The 21597-nt window shown below is 52.7% G+C and overlaps 3 pseudogenes, besides 3 other annotated features; 2 read left to right on the top strand and 1 right to left on the bottom strand.

The window, feature by feature from the left end:
* Nucleotides 722–1894, top strand: DNM1P18 (dynamin 1 pseudogene 18; annotated as a pseudogene).
* Nucleotides 4740–4847, bottom strand: GOLGA2P4 (GOLGA2 pseudogene 4; annotated as a pseudogene).
* Nucleotides 9080–9129: a silencer, noted in NCBI's record as "silent region_13843". NCBI's record gives its function as "represses an Ori minimal core promoter by ATAC-STARR-seq in GM12878 lymphoblastoid cells {active_cell/tissue: GM12878}" and the evidence as "EXISTENCE:reporter gene assay evidence [ECO:0000049][PMID:35858748]".
* Nucleotides 11936–12961, top strand: RPL5P34 (ribosomal protein L5 pseudogene 34; annotated as a pseudogene).
* Nucleotides 19540–19726: a silencer, noted in NCBI's record as "fragment chr22:43165586-43165772 (GRCh37/hg19 assembly coordinates)". NCBI's record gives its function as "represses an EF-1alpha promoter that drives an FKBP-Casp9 reporter gene in an ReSE screen in K562 erythroleukemia cells {active_cell/tissue: K562}" and the evidence as "EXISTENCE:reporter gene assay evidence [ECO:0000049][PMID:32094911]".
* Nucleotides 19558–19617: an enhancer, noted in NCBI's record as "active region_19177". NCBI's record gives its function as "activates an Ori minimal core promoter by ATAC-STARR-seq in GM12878 lymphoblastoid cells {active_cell/tissue: GM12878}" and the evidence as "EXISTENCE:reporter gene assay evidence [ECO:0000049][PMID:35858748]".

The following is a 21597-nucleotide window of genomic DNA, read 5'->3' as shown; positions in this document are numbered from 1 at the left end:
TCTTGCTCTTGCCCAGGCTGGAGTGCAGTGGAGCAATCATGGCCCACTGCGGCCTCAGCCTCCTGGGCTAAAGCGATCCTCCTGCCTCAGCCTCCTAAGTAGTTGGAACCACAGGTGTGTACCGCTACACCGGGCTAATTTATCTTCTTTTATTTTTTATTTTTTTTGAGACAGAGTTTTGCTCTTTTTGCCCAGGCTGGAGTGCAATGGCGTGATCTCAGCTCATTGCAACCTCCGCCTCCCAGGTTCAAGCAATTCTCCTACCTCAGCCTCCCAAATAGCTGGGATTACAGGTGCCCGCCACCATGCCCGGCTAATTTTTCTATTTTTAGTAGAGATGGGGTTTCACCATGTTGGCCAGGCTCATCTCAAACTCCTGACACTGTGATCCACCTGCCTCAACCTCCCAAAGTGCTGGGATTACAGGTGTGAGCCACCGTGCCAGGTTTTATCTTTTTTATAGAAATGAGGTCTTGCCTCCCTCCTGGTACTGACATACCTGCTAGCGTGTGACTGAAGGCAGTGTCCTTGGCCCCAGCAGAAGGAACGTAGCCAGCCGGCAGCTCACGCACCTTGGCCTGTTGCTCCTAGGAGCTGCCTATGCTATTCAGCCAAGGGGACCACGGTGCCTGCTGGCCCGGCTGAGCTCTGCCCAGCGAGCCCGCCAACTTCCCCGGCCACTGACTCTTGCTCTTCTGCTTTTCCCAGCAGGAAGACAGACCCCAGCCTCACCTGCAGCCACCCCACCCCGACCAGCTAAGGCTCCCCACTTAGACTTACAAGTCTATGGCCACTGGCATCCGGCTGCCTGCCCTCCCTGCCTCCCCCAGGGTCCCTTCAGAGGGTCTTGGGCTTTCTGACCCCTTTTAGCTTCACCCTCCCGGTTCAAGCAGTGTTTTCTCTATGAGACCTGGTGGCTGTTGCGTGGGGCTCTCCACGGCAAGGGGTAGCCCTGAGCCAGTGGGTTGGAAGACAGGGTGACCAGAGAAGAGGGAAGCCCGAGGGGGCTGAGATCGGTCTGAACTGTGGGTGCACTGCCTGGGTGCCGTGGGAAAGGCCAGCGTGTGTGGGGTCGGGAGGGCCGCCACAGCCCCCAGGTGCTACCTGTGAAGCTCCGAATCCTCCATCATCCTCCCCTTTCTCTTCCAGCCCCTCCTTTCCAGGAACCTTGCCACACCCCCACCTGTACCTGCACCTGCACGTGCACCCTTCCCTCTCCCTCCCGTCCCGGGCCCTCCCACCATGTGCTGCACTTGCCTTACCAGCTCTCCTCACTTTTCTCTCTCCCGTTTTCTCTCCGCTTTCTCTCCAGCTGCCAGCTGATAGATCGAGTCAGGCAAGAGAGCCCCAAGCCCTTCGACCTCTAAACAGATCCCTCCTCTTCTCGGTGACCTCCCTTTCCCAGCCTGCCTGGACGGTTGTTCTGTGACTTAACAGTGGCTCCCCCAGCCCCAAAGCCAGCCCCCTTCATCTGTGACTTAGTCTGCTGTCGTGGTGAGCTGACACATCCAGGTGTGACCACTGGTGAAAACTTGTGCCTCTGTTGTACACCCTGCCCTGTTCTATAAATATCTATCAATACTCATATATAGACACACCTACACATGGCCGACCGCCTCGCCTCTAGCGCTGGGCATCAGTCACCATGCTGTCCTTGTGGAGTCTTGTGGTCCAACTACAAGAGAACGCTGTCCCTTGACATCCCCCCTCCAAAATGCGCCGCCTCCAGTGAGCCTCCCTGCCGTGCCCAGCCTTTGGACAGCCAGCTCCTGCCACCCCTCCTGCCCCCTGCCAAGTATTGGAGTGCTGTGCAGGCAGCCGTGTGGCCTGACGGTCTCTACCAGTCCTGCTGTCCCTCGGCTGGGAATCAAACTCATTTCTTGATAACAGGGAATGTCTCCTGCTGGTTGTGTTCTCCGCGGAGCTCAGGGGAGGGAAAGGGCCACGCCATTACTAGGGTGCTGTTGGGAACGGTGAAAAGGAACACCTTTCACCTTGAAAAGGTGTTTCCAAGGGACACTTTTCCTGGAAAGCTCCTGGAGCTTAGCTGGCTCTCATCCTGTGAAGCCGGCTCTGGCCATGATGGGGCAGGGCCACAAACTCAGCCTGGAGAGAGCCTGCGGGGCAGCCGGCACTCCGGAGGCACAGACCAGTGAGGGAGGCAGGGGGACTGAACGGAAGACGCCTGGGCTGGATGGAAGTCAGTGCCCTTGGGTACTGCTACAGGTGTCCCAGGTATTGGTCTCCCTGCAGACTCTGAGTCTCTTGGCTCTTCAGTTCCACCTGCAGAAGATCCTGGGCGTAAAGGCAGGTGGTGGCTGGCTTCCAGATTCTGGGCCCATAAATAAGGTAGCGAGGGCTCTGTGGGACTCTTTCACCTCTCCAGGCCCCTGGCCCCTTGCTCTAGGCCTCAGTGACGGCCTCCCTTGCCTAGAGCTCCATGCCTCCTTCCCCAGCCTCAGATCTCACAGCCTTCTTCCCACCATTTGAACTGTAGGCCACAGACTGGTGGAAACGCAGAGGGAGCCAAGCACCATCTGCTAAGTGTGCGACATGCCTAATGTTTCCACGTATTATCCCACTTAATCCTCAGCACCTCTGCGAGGAAGATGCTAACTTCCTTTTTAACTAATGAAACCGAGACTTAGAGATGCAAAGTAGTTGAATGGTGACCAGTGGAGCCAAGGCCGGTATCCACTTTGAATCTAAGGAGCCTCTTATACCACTGTCTCTTTCCCTATAACTGGACAGCTCCATGCCTCTATTCAGTATGATGATGTCCAGACCCGGGGCTACCCGCCTCTAAAAGTCAGAGGGCAGGAAGCAAGAAACAGTCACAGGACTGCCCTGGAGGGCGCTGGGGTCACTGTCCCCCACGCTGGAGCTGCCTCTGACCTCATACCTCCCCTCCCCAGGGGCTGGTACCCACCTCCTAGCCCTTTTTGTATGGGGCAGGGTTACCGTCTCCTTCAGCCCAGCTTCTCCTGCAGCTCCTTCTTGCCATGCAGCTCCGACTGCAACGGACTGGCTATCTCCATGTTCTCCTTGTTCCGGACAGAGAGAAGCAATCAGTGGCCACCCACTGCAGCTGGAGACCCCAGAACTTGGTGTCTGCCTTTTGTCTCCCATGGCCCCAGGAAGGGTGGAGGCAGGTTAGAGAAAAACCATCCCCCCTCCCCAACAGCCATCCGAGCAGGGCTCTGGCTCACAGGTGCCTTCAGAAGTACCATTTCACGTTGAGGGCTACAACGCCCATTTCACAGGTGGGGAAACAAAGACCCAGAGGGCTAGGGAGAAGGGGAGGCTCCCCAGGTGGGGCTGAGCACCAGCTCCTTGAAGCCGCTCTGCAGCTCGGCCAGCTGCTCCTCCAGCTCGTGGTTCTAGGAGAGCGCACAGCTGACGGTGGTGAGCTCGGTCTGCATGGCCTCCAGGGTTTGCACGCGCGCCTTCACCTGCTCCCCCCAGAGCTCGGCCTTATGCCCAGCTCCTGCAGCCTCTCCTCTTCCTGCGTCTTCTCCTGCTCCCACAGCCTCTCATCCTGAGGTGCATGCAGAGAGAAGGAGGTGGAAGAGGACTGTGAGGACAGGTAGAGCAATCATTAGGGCTGGGGGTTGTGTGGGCTGTCTCAGCTGGCAGAGGGGCATCCAGCCTGCTCTATGGGAGGAGGCATTAGGGTTGGGAGCTGTGTGGGCTCCCTCAGCTGGCAGAGGGGCACCCAGCCCCCGCTGTGGGATGGAGGTTGGAGGGCTGGGCTGCAGGGACACTGGGCTATGGCTCCGGAACTCTCACCTCCAGATCCTTCAGGTTAGCAGACGATGCAGGCCCTCCCCTTTGACAGATGTTGTTGACTACGAGAGAGGAGATTGCACCTGAGATGTTCTGTCCCCCAGTGTCTAAGCCCTCTGACTTCCTTTCTTCCCCATCAACTGGCAACATTTACTTTTCTGCCTAACTTGGACCCTTCGTCCCGTAACCCCTTTGTGCCAACGTCTCTCATGGTTCTTACCTCCCCACCATCCCTCCCTCCCGAGCAACTCTCATCCGGTTCTTCTGCGGCAGCATAAAATGATGCAGCCAGTCACGGGGTCCACCTCCTCCCTGTGAACAGCTTCCAGGGAGAAGGCTCAGGGAAGAGGTGACTTCCTCAACACTGCCCAGCAAATCGGCTGGTCCCAGGATCTCCCCTCTCTCTCGTGAATCCCTGCCTCAGTTTCTATCATACTTTCCTTCCCCCCGCACCCCCCTCAATTCCTGAGGTACCTCACAAACAAGACTATTGAGTTGTTGGGAGAGTTGTCGCAGGCTCTCCGTCGATGAGAAAGTCCTGGAGGTGGAGACACAGGGGTGAGGGATGCAGGTGGCTCGATGGGAAAGGAGGTCATGAGCAGTGGCTTCCCTGACTCCCTTGGCCTAGAGACTGCTGCCCCGATGGGAGACACTTGGTTTCATCCATGAGATTGAGGCCAGTGTCAGCATCATGATTCTGTGTGGGAAGAAACATATGAGGTGGTCATTCAATTTCTGGTAAGAATCACCCAGGACGGGGTGAGCCAAGCTCCCAAGCTCATTCCAACAATCTTCCGTCTCCCCAGACCACAAGGAAAAGCCCAGTGTGAGCCTTCCACCAGCCCGGTCCCAGGAAGGGCACTTGGCACTAGGGAACAAGCTACCTGTGAAAGGAGAGGAGAATCCATAGTAAGTACAGGAGGGCAGTGGGCAGATGGGGGGGAGGCTCCCACCTGAGGTGCCGCCATGCTACTGAGACTGGCACCAGGGGAATGGACACTGCCAGGTAACATGGTGTCATCAGATGGCTGCAGAGAAGCAGCATGGTCTTTGGGCGTCTGTCATATGACAGAGCAGGGGGTTAGGGGGCCATGCAGGAGAGAAGGTTCCTCAGTGCCATGGACGCAAGCAATTCCCCTGCCTCAGCCTCCCGAGTAGCTGAGATTACAGGCGCCCGCCACCATGCCCGGCTAATTTTTGTATTTTTAGTAGAGACGGGGTTTTGCCATATTATCCAGGCTGGTCTTGAACTCCTGACCTTAGGTGATCTGCTCGCCGTGGCCTCCCAAAGTGCTGGGATTACAGGAGTGAGCCACTGCACCCGGCCTGAGTATGAGTCTTAGAAAAGGAATCAGATATGGCAGGCAGGATATTCTAGACAAGGCAAATACGGCACTAGAAAAGCTATAGAGAAGCAAGTCAGTCATGGCATGAGTCCACACCCACGTTTAACAGGACCAGATCACTGTTACTAAGCTAAGGGTGGGAAAAAGCAACAGAGGAAAAGCTGCAAACACAAGCCAAAGCTGTTCCTAGTTGACATCTGAAGCCCAACGAATGTGATCAAAACAAAGCACTTCGGTTTTGTTTGGGTTTGCTGCCACTAGGACACGGTATAAAGTCAGATATTCACATTCATACCATTTTCTGCATTCTTCAGTATCTGTCAGTGTGTTTAAGTCTTTTTTTTTTTTTTTTTTTTTTTTTTTTTTTTTTTGAGACAGCGTCTTGCTCTGTCACCCAGACTGGAGTGCAGTGGCACGATCTCGGCTCACTGTAAGCTCTGCCTCACGGGTTCACGCCATTCTGCCTCAGCCTACCGAGTAGCTGGGACTACAGGCACCCGCCACCACACCCGGCTAATTTTTTTGTATTTTTAGTAGAGACGAGGTTTCACCGTGTTAGCCAGGATGGTCTTGATCCTCTGACCTCGTGATCCGCCCACCTCGGCCTCCCAAAGGGCTAGGATTACAGGTGTGAGCCACCACGCCCAGGCTGTTTTTGTTTTTTGAGACACAGTCTCACTCTGTCACCCAGACTGGAGTGCAGTGGCGTGATCTTGGCTCACTGCAACTTCTGCCTCCTGGGTTCAAGAGATTCTTGTGCCTCAGCCTCTCAAGTAACTGGAACTACAGGTGTGAGCCACCACAACTGGCTAATTTTTGTATTTTTAGTAGAGACAGGGCTTTGCCATGTTGGTCAGGCTAGTCTTGAATTCCTGACCTCAGATGATCCACCCACCTCAGCCTCCCACCTCGCCCAGCCATGTTTAAGTGCTTTGAATACACAACTTTTTAAAAAGTCAAGACACACTATGAGAAACTTTTTCCGAAGAAAATGATCCAAAAAGCAGAGTGAGAGTCAATGCATGGTGATAGGCAGTATAGAAGTGGTTTTCTAGGCCAGGCGCAGTGGCTCACGCCTGTAATCCCAACACTTTGGGAGGCCGAGGCGGGTGGATCACCTGAGGTCAGGAGATCAAGACCATCCTGGCTAACACAGTGAAACCCCGTCTCTACTAAAAATACAAAAAATTAGCCAGGCGTGTTGGTGGGTGCCTGTAGTCCCAGCTACTCGGGAGGCTGAGGCAGGAGAATGGCGTGAACCCGGGAAGCGGAGCTTGCAGTGAGCCGAGATCGCGCCACTGCACTCCAGCCTGGGTGACAGAGCAAGACTGCGTCTCAAAAAAAAAAAAAAAAAAGTGGTTTTCTATTCCCTCCTTCCGCACCAGGGAAAAAGAATATTAATGTGTTTTCACAACAATCTATATGGAGGAGAAGAATTTAAATTCCTGTCAAGGATGAATTTGAAATAATCTTTTCATGGACTCTCATTTTTTATTTTCTGGGTTTTTTTTTTTTTTTTTTTTTGTGAGACTCACTCTGTTACCCAGGCTGGAGTGGATAGGAGTCACGTCACACTTCTCTAGCTGTAAGGACTCTAGGAGAGCAAGTATCTGCTCTTCTTGGCTTCCTTAGTCGGGGGCAGAACCTGTTTTTTTTTTTTTTTTTGCCAAAAGTCATGCAATGGGCCGGGTGCGCTGGTTCACGCCTGTAATCCCAGCACTTTGGGAGGCTGAGTTAGGTGGATCACCTGAGGTCGGGAGTTCGAGACCAGCCTGACCAACATGGTGAAACCCCATCTCCTCTAAAAATACAAAAATTAGCCAGGCGTGGTGGCGGGTGCCTGTAATCCCAGCTACTCAGGAGGCTGAGGCAGGAAAATTGCTTGAACCCAGGAGATGGAGGTTGCAGTGAGCCAAGATCACACCATTGCACTCCAGCCTGGGCAACAGTGAAACTCAGTCTCAAAAAAAAAAAAGTGGGGGGGCATGCAATGGAGCTTTCCCCAATGTATTCGTCACTTGTTGAACTGCTATAAAGAAATACCTGAGACTGGGTAATTTATAAGGAAAAGAGCTTTAATTGGCTCATGGTTCTGCAGGCTGTACACAAAGCATAGTGGCTTCTGCTTCTGGGGAGGCCTCAAGGAGCTTCAAAGCAGAAGGCAGAAGGCAAGTGGGAGCATGAGTCTTCCATGGCAAGCGCAGGACTGAGAGAGAGAGACAGGAGGTGTTATCCACTTTTAAACAGCCAGATCTCGTGAGATCTCACTATCCAGTACCAAGAGAGATGGTACTAATCCATTCACGAGAACTCTGCCCCATGATCCAATGGCCTTCCCCCGAGCCCTACCTGGAACACTGGGGATTACAACAGATCATGAGACTTGGGTGGGGATTCAGATCCAATCCATATCACCCAGACAAAATGTTTACTTGTATCATTAACTATTAGGCAGCCATGCATGTGCAGAACCTCACAGAGGTCATGACTGGTCTGAAAGGATGTTTAAGAAATGGCCAGAGCCGGGCGCAGTGGCTCACGCCTGTAATCCCAGCACTTTGGGAGGCCGAGGTGGGCGGATCACGAGGTCGGGAGATCGAGACCATCCTGGCTAACATGGTGAAACCCCATCTCTACTAAAAATACAAAAAAATTAGCCGGGCATGGTGGCGGGCATCTGTAGTCCCAGCTACTCCGGGAGGCTGAGGCAGGAGAGAGAGGCGTGAACCCGGGAGGCGGAGCTTGCAGTGAGCCGAGATCGTACCACTGCACTCCAGCCTGGGCGACAGAGCGAGACTCTGTCACAAAAAAAATAAAAAATAAGAAATGGCCAGTATATCGGTCAGGATACGATACATTATGCTGCAGGAACAAATGACTCCAACATCTCAGCAGCTTACGGAGATAAAGGTTTACTTCTCATTCAGGTCCACTGTAGATGGCCAATATTTTCACGTTGGGACCCAAGCTGATGAAACAGCCTCTAGAACATGACTGATCTCATAGCAGGGAAAAAGAAAAACAAACCAAAAACCCCACAGCAAGTCACATTCTGGCTCTTGAAGCTTCTGCTTGGAAGTGACAAACATAACTTCTGCCCATATACTATTGGCTAAAACAAATTATGTCTCCAAACCTGATTTCTGTGGAGCAGGAAGTGTGATATTACCCCAGGGATGGGCAATTAATATTTTTGAAACAGAATAGGAATATTTTGAATAGAATGCTTCAGTAGGCCAGGTGTGGTGGCTCACGCATGTAATCCCAGCACTTTGGGAGGCTGAGGCAGGTGGATCACCTGAGGTCGGGAGTTCGAGACCAGCCTCACCAACGTGAAGAAACCGTGTCTACTAAAAATACAAAATTAGCCAGGCTTAGTAGCGCATGCCTGTAATCCCAGCTACTTGGGAGGCTGAGGCAGGAGAATCGCTTGAACCCAGGAGGCAGAGGTTGCAGTGAGCCAAGATTGCGCCACTGCACTCCAGCCTGGGCAACAGAGCTAGACTTTGTCTCAAAAAATAAATTAAAAAAATAAATATAATAATAAAAAAGAGAAAAGTTAAATAGCACAGATATTATGTGAAATAATTAAAAATTAGACTTATTAAAATGTGTATTCTTCAGAAAAAGACCCTTAACACAGTATCAGAGATAGATATTGCTAAGGAACTGAATAATGTAAGTGGCTAGGGAAGACAGCAACGCTCAGAGATGTGTCCCCTGGGGCAACATGGTTCCACAGCAGATATGGCTGTTGGGATCCAGATTACAGCATTCTTGTGAGGCTCTAATCCCTAGTGCCCAGCCCCTTCCTCCAGCCATCCTTGAGAAGTAAAAACAGGAAGGCAGCAATGTAACAGAAGACAATACATGCGATAAAGTACTTGAAAGCCAGTAAGCGCCATCTAGTGGCAAGGGGATGATTTTTTCCCATTTTGTATGTACTGTCAAATTCAAACTGCATAGGACAATTTGCATTCCTATCAGCAGGGTGTGAGAGTTGCCAATGTTTTTGTTTTTGTGTGTTTTTTTGTTTTGTTTTGATTTTTGAGATGCAATTTCACTCTTGTCGCCCAGGCTAGAGTGCAGTGGCGTGATCTCGGCTCACTGCAACCTCCGCCTCCCAGGTTCAAGCGATTCTCCTGCCTCAGCCTCCCAAGTAGCTGGGATTACAGGCACCCACCACCATGCCCAGCTAATTTTTGTATTTTTAGTAGAGATGGGGTTTCACCACATTGGCCAGGCTGGTTTCAAACTCCTGACCTCAGGTGATCCTCCTGCCTCGGCCTCCCAAAGTGCTGGGATTACAGGTGTGAGCGACCGTGCCTGGCAGTTTACAGTATTCTACCTTGTCACTAAGCTTGCTAAGTTCAGACTCACTAAGTTTTCTCATTTTAATGAATACAGAATAGTATTTCTGATAAACTGATAGTAAGATTTAGAGGCTTATTGCTGGGCATGGTGGCTCACGCTTGTAATCCCAGCACTTTGGGAGGCCAAGGCGGGCGGATCAGATGAGGTCGGGAGTTCGAGGTCAGCCTGACCAACATGGAGAAACCCGTCTCTACTAAAAATACAAAATTAGCTGGGTGTTGTGGCGCATGCCTGTAATCCCAGCTACTTGGGAGGCTGAGGCAGGAGAATCGCTTGAACCCGGGAAACAGGTTGCGGTGAGCTGAAATCACGCCATTGCACTCCAGCATGAGCAACAAGAGCAAAATTCTGTCTCAAAAAAAAAAAAGAGAGATTTAGAGGCTTGCTTCTGATTCCATTTTTAAAATGTATTTATTTAGGCCAGGTGCAGTGGCTCACGCCTGTAATCCCAGCACTTTAGGAGGCTGAGGCAGGCGGATCACCTGAGGTCCGGAGTTCGAGACCAGCCTGACCAACATGGTAAAACCTTGTCTCTACTAAAAATACAAAAATTGCCAGGCGCGGTGGCTCACGCCTGTAATCCCAGCACTTTGGGAGGCCGAGACGGGCGGATCACAAGGTCAGGAGATCGAGACCATCCTGGCTAACACGGTGAAACCCCGTCTCTACTAAAAATACAAAAAAATTAGCCAGGCGTGGTGGCGGGCGCCTGTAGTCCCAGCTACTCGGGAGGCTGAGGCAGGAGAATGGCGTGAACCCAGGAGGCGCAGCTTGCAGTGAGCGGAGATCGTGCCACTGCACTCCAGCCTGGGCGACAGAGCAAGACTGTCTCAAAAAAAAAAAAAAATACAAAAAATACAAAAATTAGCCGAGCGTGGTGGCAGGCGCCTGTAATCCCAGATACTTGGGAGACTGAGGCAGGAGACTGAGGCAGGAGAATTGCTTGAACCCAGCAGGCAGAGGTTGTGGCGAGCTGAGATCGCGCCATTGCACTCCAGCCTGGGCAAAAAGAGCGAAAAGTCCATCTCAAAAAAAAAAAAATTATTTATTTAGGTAAGGATATATATGTATACTGTATTTTTTTTTTATACGAGTCTTGCTCTGTTGCCCAGGCTGGAATCCAATGGCATGATCTCAGCTCACTGCCGACTCTGCTTCCCAGATTCAAGTGATTCTCCTGCCGCAGCTTCCTGAGTAGCTGGGACTACAGGCGTGTACCACCACCCCCAGCTAATTTTCTATATTTTTAGTACAGGCGGGGTTTTACCATGCTGGCCAGGCTGGTCTCGAACCCCTGACCACAGGTGATCCGCCCGCCTCGGCCTCCCAAAGTGCTGGGATTACAGGTATGAGCCACTGCTTCCAGCCACTTTATATATGTATACTCTATTCTCTATGTACTTCCGATGGTACCACATCAAGAGGCACATAATGTCTTGTTATCAATCAAATGTTGTTCAAATGTGGTTGGCCTGATTCATCAATAGATACAGTAATAAGGTTTCTTATCTATCTTTCACCCAATGGTTTTAGAAACCACTGATGATTGGCTGGGCGCTGTGGCTCACGCCTGTAATCCCAGCACTTAAGAGGCCGAGGGGAGCAGATCACGAGGTCAGGAGTTCGAGACCATCCTGGACAACATGGTGAAACCCTGTCTCTACTAAAAATACAAAAAGTAGCTAGGTGTTATGGCGTGGGCCTATAGTCCCAGCTACTTGGGAGGCTGAGGCAGGAGAACTCTTTAGAACCCAGAAAGTGGAGGTTGCAGTGAGCCAAGTTTGCACCACTGCACTCCAGCCTGGCAACAGAGCGAGACTCCGTCTAAAAAAAAAAAAAAACAACAACAACACTGATGATTATTACTTAGATTCATCATTTCATAAAGGATTTGAAAAAAATAGTAATTTTCTAATTTTATTATTCCTTCTGCATTTATTTATTTATTTATTTTGAGATGGAGTTTCACTCTTGTTGCCCAGACTGGAGTGCAATGGCACGATCTCGGCTCACTGCAACCTCTGCCTCCCAGGTTCAAGCGATTCTCCTGCCTCAGCCTCCCAAGTAGCTGGGATTACAAGCATGAGCCACCACAAGCGGCTTATTTTTGTATTTTTAGTACAGACGGGGTTTCACTATGCTGGTCAGGCTGGTCTCGAACTTCTGACCTCAGGTGATCCACCTGCCTTGGCCTCCCAAAGTGCTGGGATTACAGGCATGAGCCACCATGCCCGGTCAGAAATTGCTCTTAAAGAAGACAGATTTTCTATTTTGGCTTTAGAAGAAATATGTCATTTTTATGGATAACTTAACTATTGACTAAAATATAGAATGACCCACAACTAGAGTTGAAAAGAATTTCAGAGACAAAGGATTCTGATCCCATCATATAACAAATTCAGGCTTTTGGGCTCAAAAAAGCCAAGTAGCCTCTTCCCCTCCCTGGCACCGCTGGGCCTGCAGGTCTCTGTCGAGCCGCGGACGCGGGTCTCTGTTCCGCTGGATGGGGTTTGTTAAAGTTGTTAAGAATAAGGCCTACTTTAACAGATACCAAGTGAAATTTAGAAGACGACGAGAGGGTAAAACTGATTACTATGCTCGGAAACGCTTGGTGATACAGGATAAAAATAAATACAACACACCCAAGTATAGGATGATTGTTCGTGTAACTGACAGAGATATCATTTGTCAGATTGCTTATGCCCGTATAGAGGGGGATATGATAGTCTGCGCGGCATATGCACACGAACTGCCAAAATACGGTGTGAAGGTTGGCCCGACAAATTATGCTGCTGCATATTGTACTGGCCTGCTGCTGGCCCGCAGGCTTCTTGATAGGTTTGGCATGGACAAGATCTATGACGGCCAAGTGGAGGTGACTGGCGATAAATACAATGTGGAAAGTACTGATGGTCAGCCAGGTGCCTTCACCTGCTGTATGGATGCAGGTCTTGCCAGAACTACCACTGGCAATAAAGTTTTTGGCGCCCTGAAGGGAGTTGTGGATGGAGGCTTGTCTGTCCCTCACAGCACCAAATGATTCCCTGGTTATGATTCTGAAAGCAAGGAATTTAATGCAGGAGTACACCAGAAGCACTTCATGGGCCAGAATGTTGCAGATTACATGCGCTACTTAATGGAAGAAGATGACGATGCTTACAAGAAACAGTTCTCTCAATACATAAAGAACAGCGTAACTCCAGACATGATGGAGGAGATGTATAAGAAAGCTCATGCTGCTATACGAGAGAATCCAGTCTATGAAAAGAAGCCCAAGAAAGAAGTTAAAAAGGAGAGGTGGAACCTTCCCAAAATGCCCCTTGCTCAGAAGAAGGATCAGGTAGCTCAAAAGAAGGCAAGCTTCCTCAGAGCTCAGGAGCGGGCTGCTGAGAGCTAAACCAAACAATTTTCTATGATGATTTTTCAGATACAGACAATAAACTTAGGGCCAGCAAAAAAAAAAAAAAAAAGCCAAGTAATTAACTTGAAGTCACATCATTTATGAGAAACAAGCTTGCCCTTAACTATAATTGGCATCGTAGTCAATGTATAAACCTTACGGAGAACATTATCCAGAAAACTGGGAGGTATAACATTCATCTTTTTTTTTTTTTTTTTGAGATAGAGTCTCGCACTGTCGCCTGGGCTGGAGTGCAGTGGCTCAATCTTGGCTCACTGCAACCTCCGTCTCCTGGGTTCAAGCGATTCTCCTGCCTCAACCTCCCAAGTAGCTGGGATTACAGGCACCCACCACCACACCCAGCTAATTTTTTGTATTTTTAGTAGAGACAGGGTTTCACCATGTTGGCCAGGCTGAGCTCGAACTCCTGACCTTGTGATTCGCCTGCCTCGGCCTCCCAAAGTGCTGGGATTACAGGTGTGAGCCACCGCGCCTGGCCTATAACATTAGTCTTTATAACAATTCCACTACATTTAAATGATACAGGAAGTTGAATGCATTGCATCAAAATCAAGGTACTGGGCCAGGTGTGGTGGCTCACGCCAGTAATCTCAATACTTTGGGAGGCCAAGGCAGGTGGATCACTTGAGGTCAGGAGTTCGAGACCATCCTGGCCAACATGGCAAAACCCAGTCTCTACTAAAAACACAAAAATTAGCCGGGCATGGTGGCATGTGCCTGTAGTCCCAGCTACTTGGGAGGCTGAGGCAGGAGAATTGCTTGAACTCAGGAGGCGGAGGTTGCAGTGAGCCAATATCGCACCACTGCACTCCAGCCTGGGGGACAGAGTAGACTCTGTCTCAAAAAATAATGATAAAATAAAAATAAAAATAAACAAATGGTACAGGAAGTGGAATGCATTGCAGCAAAGTCAAGGTACTGGGCCGGGCACAGGGGCTCACGCCTGTAATCCCAGCCTTTGCCTGAGTTCTTGTCCTGTGTCCAGGAAGAATGAGGTACACAGACAAGTGGAGGGTGAGCAAGACAAAGAAAAGCTCTACTGAATCTTAGGACAGCTCAGAGGAGACCCGCAGTGGGCAGCTCCTCTCTGTAAGCAGGTCATCTCCTCCAGTGTTCAGCTCTCCATAGGGAGGAGGCCCTGGAGGCCCTGGAGTGGGTGGCTCCACTCTGCAGGCAGGTCCCTGTTGACTTCCCAGCTCTCAGTAGAGAAGGTAGCTCCTCTCTGCAGCTGGTCATCCAGTCTCCAGTTGTTTCTCCATCCTCTGCCTTGCTCTGGCTGAGACTGGGGTGTTTACGGACCTCAGAGAGGAGGAAATGCATGCCAGTTGGTGCATGGGCACCCAGAAGAGGTACCACAGGTCCCCACTCTGGTCTGTGGATCTGGCAGCCCAGCCTTCAGCCTTCAGGCCCTCCCTGGTCTGAAAGTGGGGTCTTATCGGGTATCCCCGGCTTCTGCCCAGGAATCCGCCTCCCACTGCCATTCATGGCCCCTGCTCAGCCCAGCTTTACTCTGAGATCAGAGTGGGTGTTGACAGCCAACAGTAGGGAGAAGCCAGGCAGTGGGGGCAGGTACTTTTGAGCCTGTGAGGGCGGGGAGGGGGGGCCTTCCCAGGCCCCCAAGAGTGGAGGGATGCCTGAAGCTGCAGCCACCAGTTTGGGTGGCTGCAGGTGCGTCCAGAGGAGGCAGGGCTCCTGGCTATTCTGTGGAGCAGGAGGCCCGGGTCTGCAGCCACAGTTTGGGTGGCTGCAGTGGCACCCAGGAGAACAGGGCTCCTACCTGCTTGCCCCGCAAGAGCACAGGAAGGCTCAGATCTGCAGCCACAACTTGGGTGGCTGCAGAAGTTACAGACTTGCAACTCAGAAGGGGCAGGGCTCCTGCCAGCTCCATGGAACGTGTAGCCCGGGTAGCACCTCCCCGCTGCAGCAGTGGCAGGCTGTCTGGAGCAGCTACTACCATGAAATAGAGGAATGATATTAAGAAGGCAGTTTTTGAACAGAAGTATGTTTTTTCATTACAATATAAACATTTGAGAATTGTTATTTCTAAAATTTCTAGTCTGAAACTATAATATAAATTTGAAAATATTTAGATAAATTCATGGATAGTTGAACATTGATTCACTTTTTTTTTTTTTTTTTGACATGGAGTTTCGCTCTGTCACCCAGGCTGGAGTGCAATGGTGCAACCTCGGTTCACTGCAACCTCCGCCTCCTGGGTTCAAATGATTCTTCTGCCTCAGCTCCTGAGTAGCTGGGATTATAGGTATGTGCCACACGCCCTGCTAATTTTGTATTTTTAGTAGAGACGGGGTTTCTCCGTGTTGGTCAGGCTGGTCTCGAACTCCTGACCTCAGGTGATCCACCGCCTTGGCCTCCCAAAGTGCTGTGATTGCAGGCATGAGCCACCGCACCCAGCCCAATGATTGACTTTTAAAGTTGAGGTTAAGTCAATATAATTATTTCACTAACACTTTTTCACGAACTGGATTCATGGTAAATTTTAGATAGCCTAATAATCTGATCCCAAATTATTATATCCTATTGTCCTTACATTCACTCATTCAACATATATGAGTGCTTACCTGTGCCAGAAATTTAAAAATTTCTAGTCTTTTTTTAACAATCTTCCATTAGCAATTTCATATTCTAAATAGCAAGTTCAGAATTTTATGATGCCTGAATTAGAAACAAATACAGAGAGTATTAAACCTTGGATATTTGTGGAGACAAATATGTCTGATGAATGACCTTGGAGGCCCAGAAAAGAGAATGGCTAGAACTGGGGATTGCAGCAGGGTCAGCAGCCGCAATAGCCACGCCCAAGGGCTGCAGAGTGAGGCAGCGGCAGAAGCAGGTGCCTGCTGGGCTTGGGCTGCCCGCCCTCCCCAGGGTCCCCCCAACCTCCGTGCTTCCTGCCTCGTGGTGTTGTGTCTGGGCAGACTTGTCTTCACCACACCGCATCAGCAGGAGTGTGTAGTGGACACAGACGGTGTCTGCTCATGTCTGCCTGGTTCCCCGCCGCTGCCAGGCAATGCCAGCAGGAGTAGATAAGGGTGTGACAGAGGCTGGGGCCAGCCCTACAGGGGGTTGAGGGAACAGGGGACAGGCACGGCTGCCCTGGGATTCCCTCCCAGAGGAGGGGCTGCTCTCCAGACCTCGTCCTTCCACAGAGATCCGAGGTCTCTGCCTGGGTCGGGCCATCGGAGACTCTGTTGTATCAACTGTGATGTCATGTTCTCCAGATCCTTGTCGGGCCAGGCTCAGGGTCTAGGCTCAGGGACGGAGGCTGCAGGGACGGACAGCAGGGCCACATGAGGGCTTGGCGGTCCAGGAGGCCTTCTGAGGGCAGGGCCCTGGGGTTGCATTTTGGGGAGAGGCTGCCACAATAGAGCAGGAGGAGCGGGGATGGGGGTGGCAGCATGTGCAAAGGCACAGCACTGGGGGTAGGGCTGTTGTTTAGCCAGTTGGAGTACCCAGGAGATGAGATGAGAGGGGCAGGTGGGCCTCTGCTGATGGGCTGGGGGTGGAGGATCGGCTCAGCCAAGCGGGGAGCCTGGAGTTCTCCTACAATTGTAGGGCCCTGTGCCTACTCCCACCTCTGCTCCTCTTTCAGCCCCACCAAGGCCTCTCCAGGGGATCTCACAGGCTGCTCCCACTCACCCCATCCTCCTGTCCCATCTCTAGCCTTGGGTTGCCTGTGCCTGGAGAGGGGAGGAGAGGGGAGGGGAGGGGAAGAGAGATGAGGGGAGGGGAGGAGAAGAGAAGGAAGGGGAGAGGAGAGTAGAGGGGAGGGGAGGAAAAGAGAGGGGAGGGGAGGAGAAGGGAGGGGAGGGGAAGGGAGATGAGAGGAGGGGAAGGAAGGGAAGGGGAGGAGAGGGGAGTGGAGGGGAGGGGACATGAGAGGAGGGGAGAGGAAGGGAAGGGAGGGGAGGGGAGGGGAAGATGTGTAGGTCAGTCTCCGGGAGGGTAGGCTGCTGTGACAAGATCCCACAGACTGGGGCTTCAGCAACAGACTTTTATTTTCTCACAGTTCCAGAGGCTGAAGTCCAAGATGAAGGCGCCATCGCGGTTGGTTTCTGGTGAGGCCTCTTTTCCTGGCTTGTAGGTGGCCCCCCTCGCACATGGCCTTCCTCTGTGTGTGCAGAGGGGAAGGGAGAGCTCTCCGGTACCTGTTCCTCTTCCTGTGGAAGGGCCCTCCCCTGTGTCCTTCTAACACCTTATCGCCAATACAGTCACTCAGGGGATAGGAATATTGAAGATGGGGTTGGTGATGTCACAGTTCCATCTGTAGCAGTGTCCGTAGGAAATTCCCACACTGGGGCCGGGCACGGTGGCTCACACCTGTAATCCCAGCACTTTAGGAGGCTGGGGCAGGCGAATCGCTTGAGCCCAGGAGTTCAAGAACAGCCTGGGCAACATAGCGAGACCTTGTCTCTACAAAAAATGCAAACATTAGCTGGGCGTGGTGGCACATGCCTGTGGTCCCAGTTACGTGGGAGGCCGAGGTGGGAGAATCACTTGAGCCCAGGAAGGCAGAGGTTGCAGTGAGCTGTGATTGTGCCACTGCACTCCAGCCTGGGCAACAGAGCGAGACCCTGTCTCAGAAAAAGACATCAACAAACTTCCCACACTGGGAGAGCCTGCTCCAGGCTGGGGCCTGGACTCGACCGGTTGCTGTGTGGTCGTTCCGTCTTCCAGAAACCCTCCCAGCAGGTCATATTCCCATTTCACATGGAGGGTGAGTGAAAGGCAGCCCTAGGTGGCTCTCTCTAACTCCAAACGTATGAACGTGGGTTTCCCCAGCACCGTCCAACCCCAGGCCTCACTGGGACTCCTTCCCAAGCTTTCCATCTGATGCTTTTAGGGCCCAGCAGCCACAGGTGTCTCAGGGAGGATGCTGGGCCCAGTGCTGGACCCTGCCAGGCAGGCTCCCTCAGCCGTGGGGCGGGTGGCCGGTCCCATCTGGTGGGCCCATTCCCCCTGCCTGAGTGCACAGATGTGTGTGTGTGTGAGTTTAGTGTGTGTTCTTGGCCCATTCATCTTTCAGCTTTTGTGTTTTATTATGTAATCATTTTGCATGAGTGCTTAGTATATGAAAGATGTTAGTTAATATTTGTTAAACAAAACACATTTTGGATCTATCGATTAAAAAAGAAAAAGGTGATAACGACAATCCAAGGACCAGGTGGAAACCGGTGAAGGCTGGACTGAGGGCTCAGGCAGTGGTGCGGAAAAGGTACTTATTGTACTTCTGTTCTTGAGATGAAGCCAGTGAGGGCCAGGGGATGTTTCTGAACCTCTGCGCCAAGAGGAATCGGGTCAGCAAAGAGAGAGGAGTGGGAGACAGAGGTTCGTCTTACACACACAGCCTTTCCCAGGAACAAATTCTCTCTTAAAATGCAGCATTAGGAAATCACCTCAGAGCCGGGCGCAGTGGCTCACGCCTGTAACCCCAGCACTTTGGGAGGCCGAGGCAGGGGGGTCGCTTGAGCTCAGGAGTTTGAGACCAGCCTGGGCCACACAGCAAAACCCTGTCTCTAAAAATACAAAAATTAGCCAGGCATGGTGGTGGGTGCCTGTAATCTCAGCTACTCAGGAGGCTGAGGCACGAGAATCGCTTGAACCCGGGAGGTGGAGGTTGCAGTGAGCCGAGATCATACTCTAGCGTGGGTGACGGAGTGAAACTCCGTCTCAAAAAAATAAAGATAAAAATAAAAATTGCACCCCTCCCCAGCTGAGCATGGTAACTCATGTCTGTAATCCCAGCACTTTGGGAAGCCAAGGCAAGAGGATCTCTTAAGCCCAGAAGTCTAAGACCAGCCTGGGCAACATAGTAAGACCCCATCTCTACAAAAAACTGGGGAAAAAAAAATTAGCTGGGCATGAAAGTATGCACCTATAGTCCCAACTACTCGGGAGGCTGAAGCCAGAGGATCGCTTGAGCCTGGTAGGTCGAGACTGCAGTGAGCTGTGATCGTAACTCTGCACTCCAGCCTAGGCAAGAGGGCGAGACCCTGTCTCAAAAATAAATAATTGCGACCCTCCCCCACGCAGCTGCTGCTTGGCTCGGGAAGGAGCTGACTCTCCCCACTGATCCCGGAACGTCCCGCTCTGCGTGGTTACGTGGGCTCAGAGACCATTGTTTGCACTGCGTCCCGGGATGGATTTACACAGGACCACGTGCCTTCTGCTCCCTCCCACTCCCGTCCGCGTTCCCTGTTTGTGGTTCTTATCATTTTGCTCGCGTGAGTCATTGGTCTCGCCGAAAACAGGAGCACAGCGGAGGTCACGCCAGCTGCAGCCCAGCACGGACAGACGGATGGCGGCAGCCAGACATCAGGGGCTCCTCGGCTTCCCTCTGCCCGACACCTGTGCTGGTCCCGCCGGGTCGGCGGGGTCCTGCAGGGGCGCTGGGCAGAGAGGGTGCCGCCCAGCCGGGCTGAGAACCCACCTGTGCCCTGTGCCCTGTGCCCTGAGGCCTGCTCCTGGGCTGTGGGGGCCCCGTTCGCCCCCGCACCGGACATGACCTCTCCCACAAGCTCTCACTTCCTCTCCGCTGCCCTGTGGCTGTCCTCCTTGTCGCACGGTTGGCTGCCCTTGTCTACACCACGACGCCCTGCTTGGGAAGGCCCCTGTTTGTCCAGGCACCCAGGGCCGGAGCCAGGCACAAGGCATCACTGCCTGGACACCTAAGTCCAGTGGACGCTCCTGTGGGACCCGTGTCCCTCAAAGGGGCCCCTGCAGCTCCACACTCCAGCCGCCTCCCCCGTCACCTCCTCACCTCACCCCAGGCCCAGCCAGCCCCTGCGGCCCCCACCAAGCCATTCAGGCCACTCTGGAGGCCCTCACCTTCCACCCGCAGCCGGTGGGCCTGCAGACCCTCCCGATCCCGGACTCCTGAGCCTCCCAAGCCCACGGTCTCCACGTGACTCGAGCCACCCCCTCCCTGGCTGGGAGCCCTGAGGGTCCCTTCCTCCTGCCACGGGGTCTCCTGCCTCTCCACAGCGCAGACCCTCCCAGGTGAAGCCCTGAACCCTTCAGAATGGCCCAAGGGGCGCCTGTCCACCCTGCTGCCCCCCACCCTCTGCCCCTCAAGGCCTGGGGCATCCAGGCTCTATGACCTTTCCAAGGGTTTGCTGGAAGGAGCCTGGGGTTGGGAGCCGCTTGTGGAGGCGAACAGGCTCGTGGGCCATGACAGTCCCCTCGCTTCCTCCCTCACACAGAGGAGAGCAGCATCCACCGGGTCACCTGTGGGAGAGTTGGAGCCACTGGAAACGCGGGGCTCAGGGTGCCCGGCACACAGTGGGCCTGCAGGTGGGCACGGTCGGCCCCTCACAGAGTAAGCGGCTGAGGCACTGCCTGTGCTTGCGAGGTGCTCAAGTCACACCCCAGTAAACGGGGAGGGAGCTGCCTCCACCCCACCACCCACCCACCCACCCTCATCCATTCAGGTTCTCACACACACGCCCGTCACCGTCAGCCAGCGCCCCAGCCGGTCCCATGGCCCTCCCAGTTCCGTGAACGGCGCCACCTCTCAGGCCTCCATCCTGCCACTGGCCAGGTCACTCAGACTGTGGAGGGGAGGGTCTGACAGGCCCAAGCCCGACCCTGTGCCCCTCTCTGGCTGCAGCCCCGCATGCCTGAGGGTGGCTGGAGGGGGCCCAGTGCCTGCTGGGTGGGTGTCCCTTCCGGAGGCTCTGCAAGTGAGTTGCCTTCTGAGTCCGCGCAGGTGGTTGGTGGGATCTGGTTTCTGTGGCTATAGGACTGAAGTCCCTGTTCCCTGGCTGGCTGTCAGCCAGGGCCCAGCCTTAGCAAGTAGAGGCCTGTCTCTGTCCTTGCCCGTGGGCCCCCGTCTCGGAGCCGGCAGCGGCATGTCCAGTCCTCACACTTGGAAACTCTCTGGCTTCCCATTCGGCCTGGTCTCTCTTCTGCTTCCAGCCAGAGAAAGTCCTTTTCTGCTCTTACAGCTCATGGGACTGGACCAGACCCACTATCCCAGCCATGTCTAGGATAATTTCCCTCCCTATTTTAAGGTTCGTAACCTTAATTACACCTGCAAATTTCCTTTTGTCTTGTAACAACATCTTCCCAGCTACCAGGGATCAGGACTGGGACATCTTTGGGGGCCACTTCGCCTTCCACCAGACCTGGTTGGCCCCCTCAGCTGCCCTCTGTACGGCCTTGTAACATCCTTTTCCAAAGTCCAAGCAACTCAAGAGAAAAGACCCAAAGATAGTGACATCAGCAGTTCGCCCAGGAAAACCGTCCAGCTGGTCCTCTTATGTGAGTCCCACATGGATGAATCCTGCACGTGGCACAGGGTGTCTAAGCCACTGTTTGCTGCCCCTTTCTTAAATAGAAGTAGATGGCTGGGCACAGTAGCTCATGCCTATGATCCCAGCACTTTGGGAGGCTGAGGTGGGCAGATCACTTGAGGTCAGGAGTTCAAGACCAGCCTGGCCAACATGGTGAAACCCTGTCTCCACTAAAAATGTGAAAAAATTAGCTAGGCGTGGTGGTGCACCCCTGTAGTCCCAGCTATTCAGGAGGCTGAGGCAGGAGAATTGCTTGAACCTGGGAGGTGGAGGTTGCAGTGAGCCGAGATCTCACCACTGCACTCTAGCCTGGGTGACAGCAAGACTCTGTCTCAAAATAAATAAATAAATTAAT

Source organism: Homo sapiens, chromosome 22 (assembly GCF_000001405.40).
Source record: "Homo sapiens chromosome 22, GRCh38.p14 Primary Assembly".
Classification (NCBI taxonomy): Eukaryota; Metazoa; Chordata; class Mammalia; order Primates; family Hominidae; genus Homo; species Homo sapiens.
This window is presented reverse-complemented; position numbering and strand designations above follow the sequence as displayed.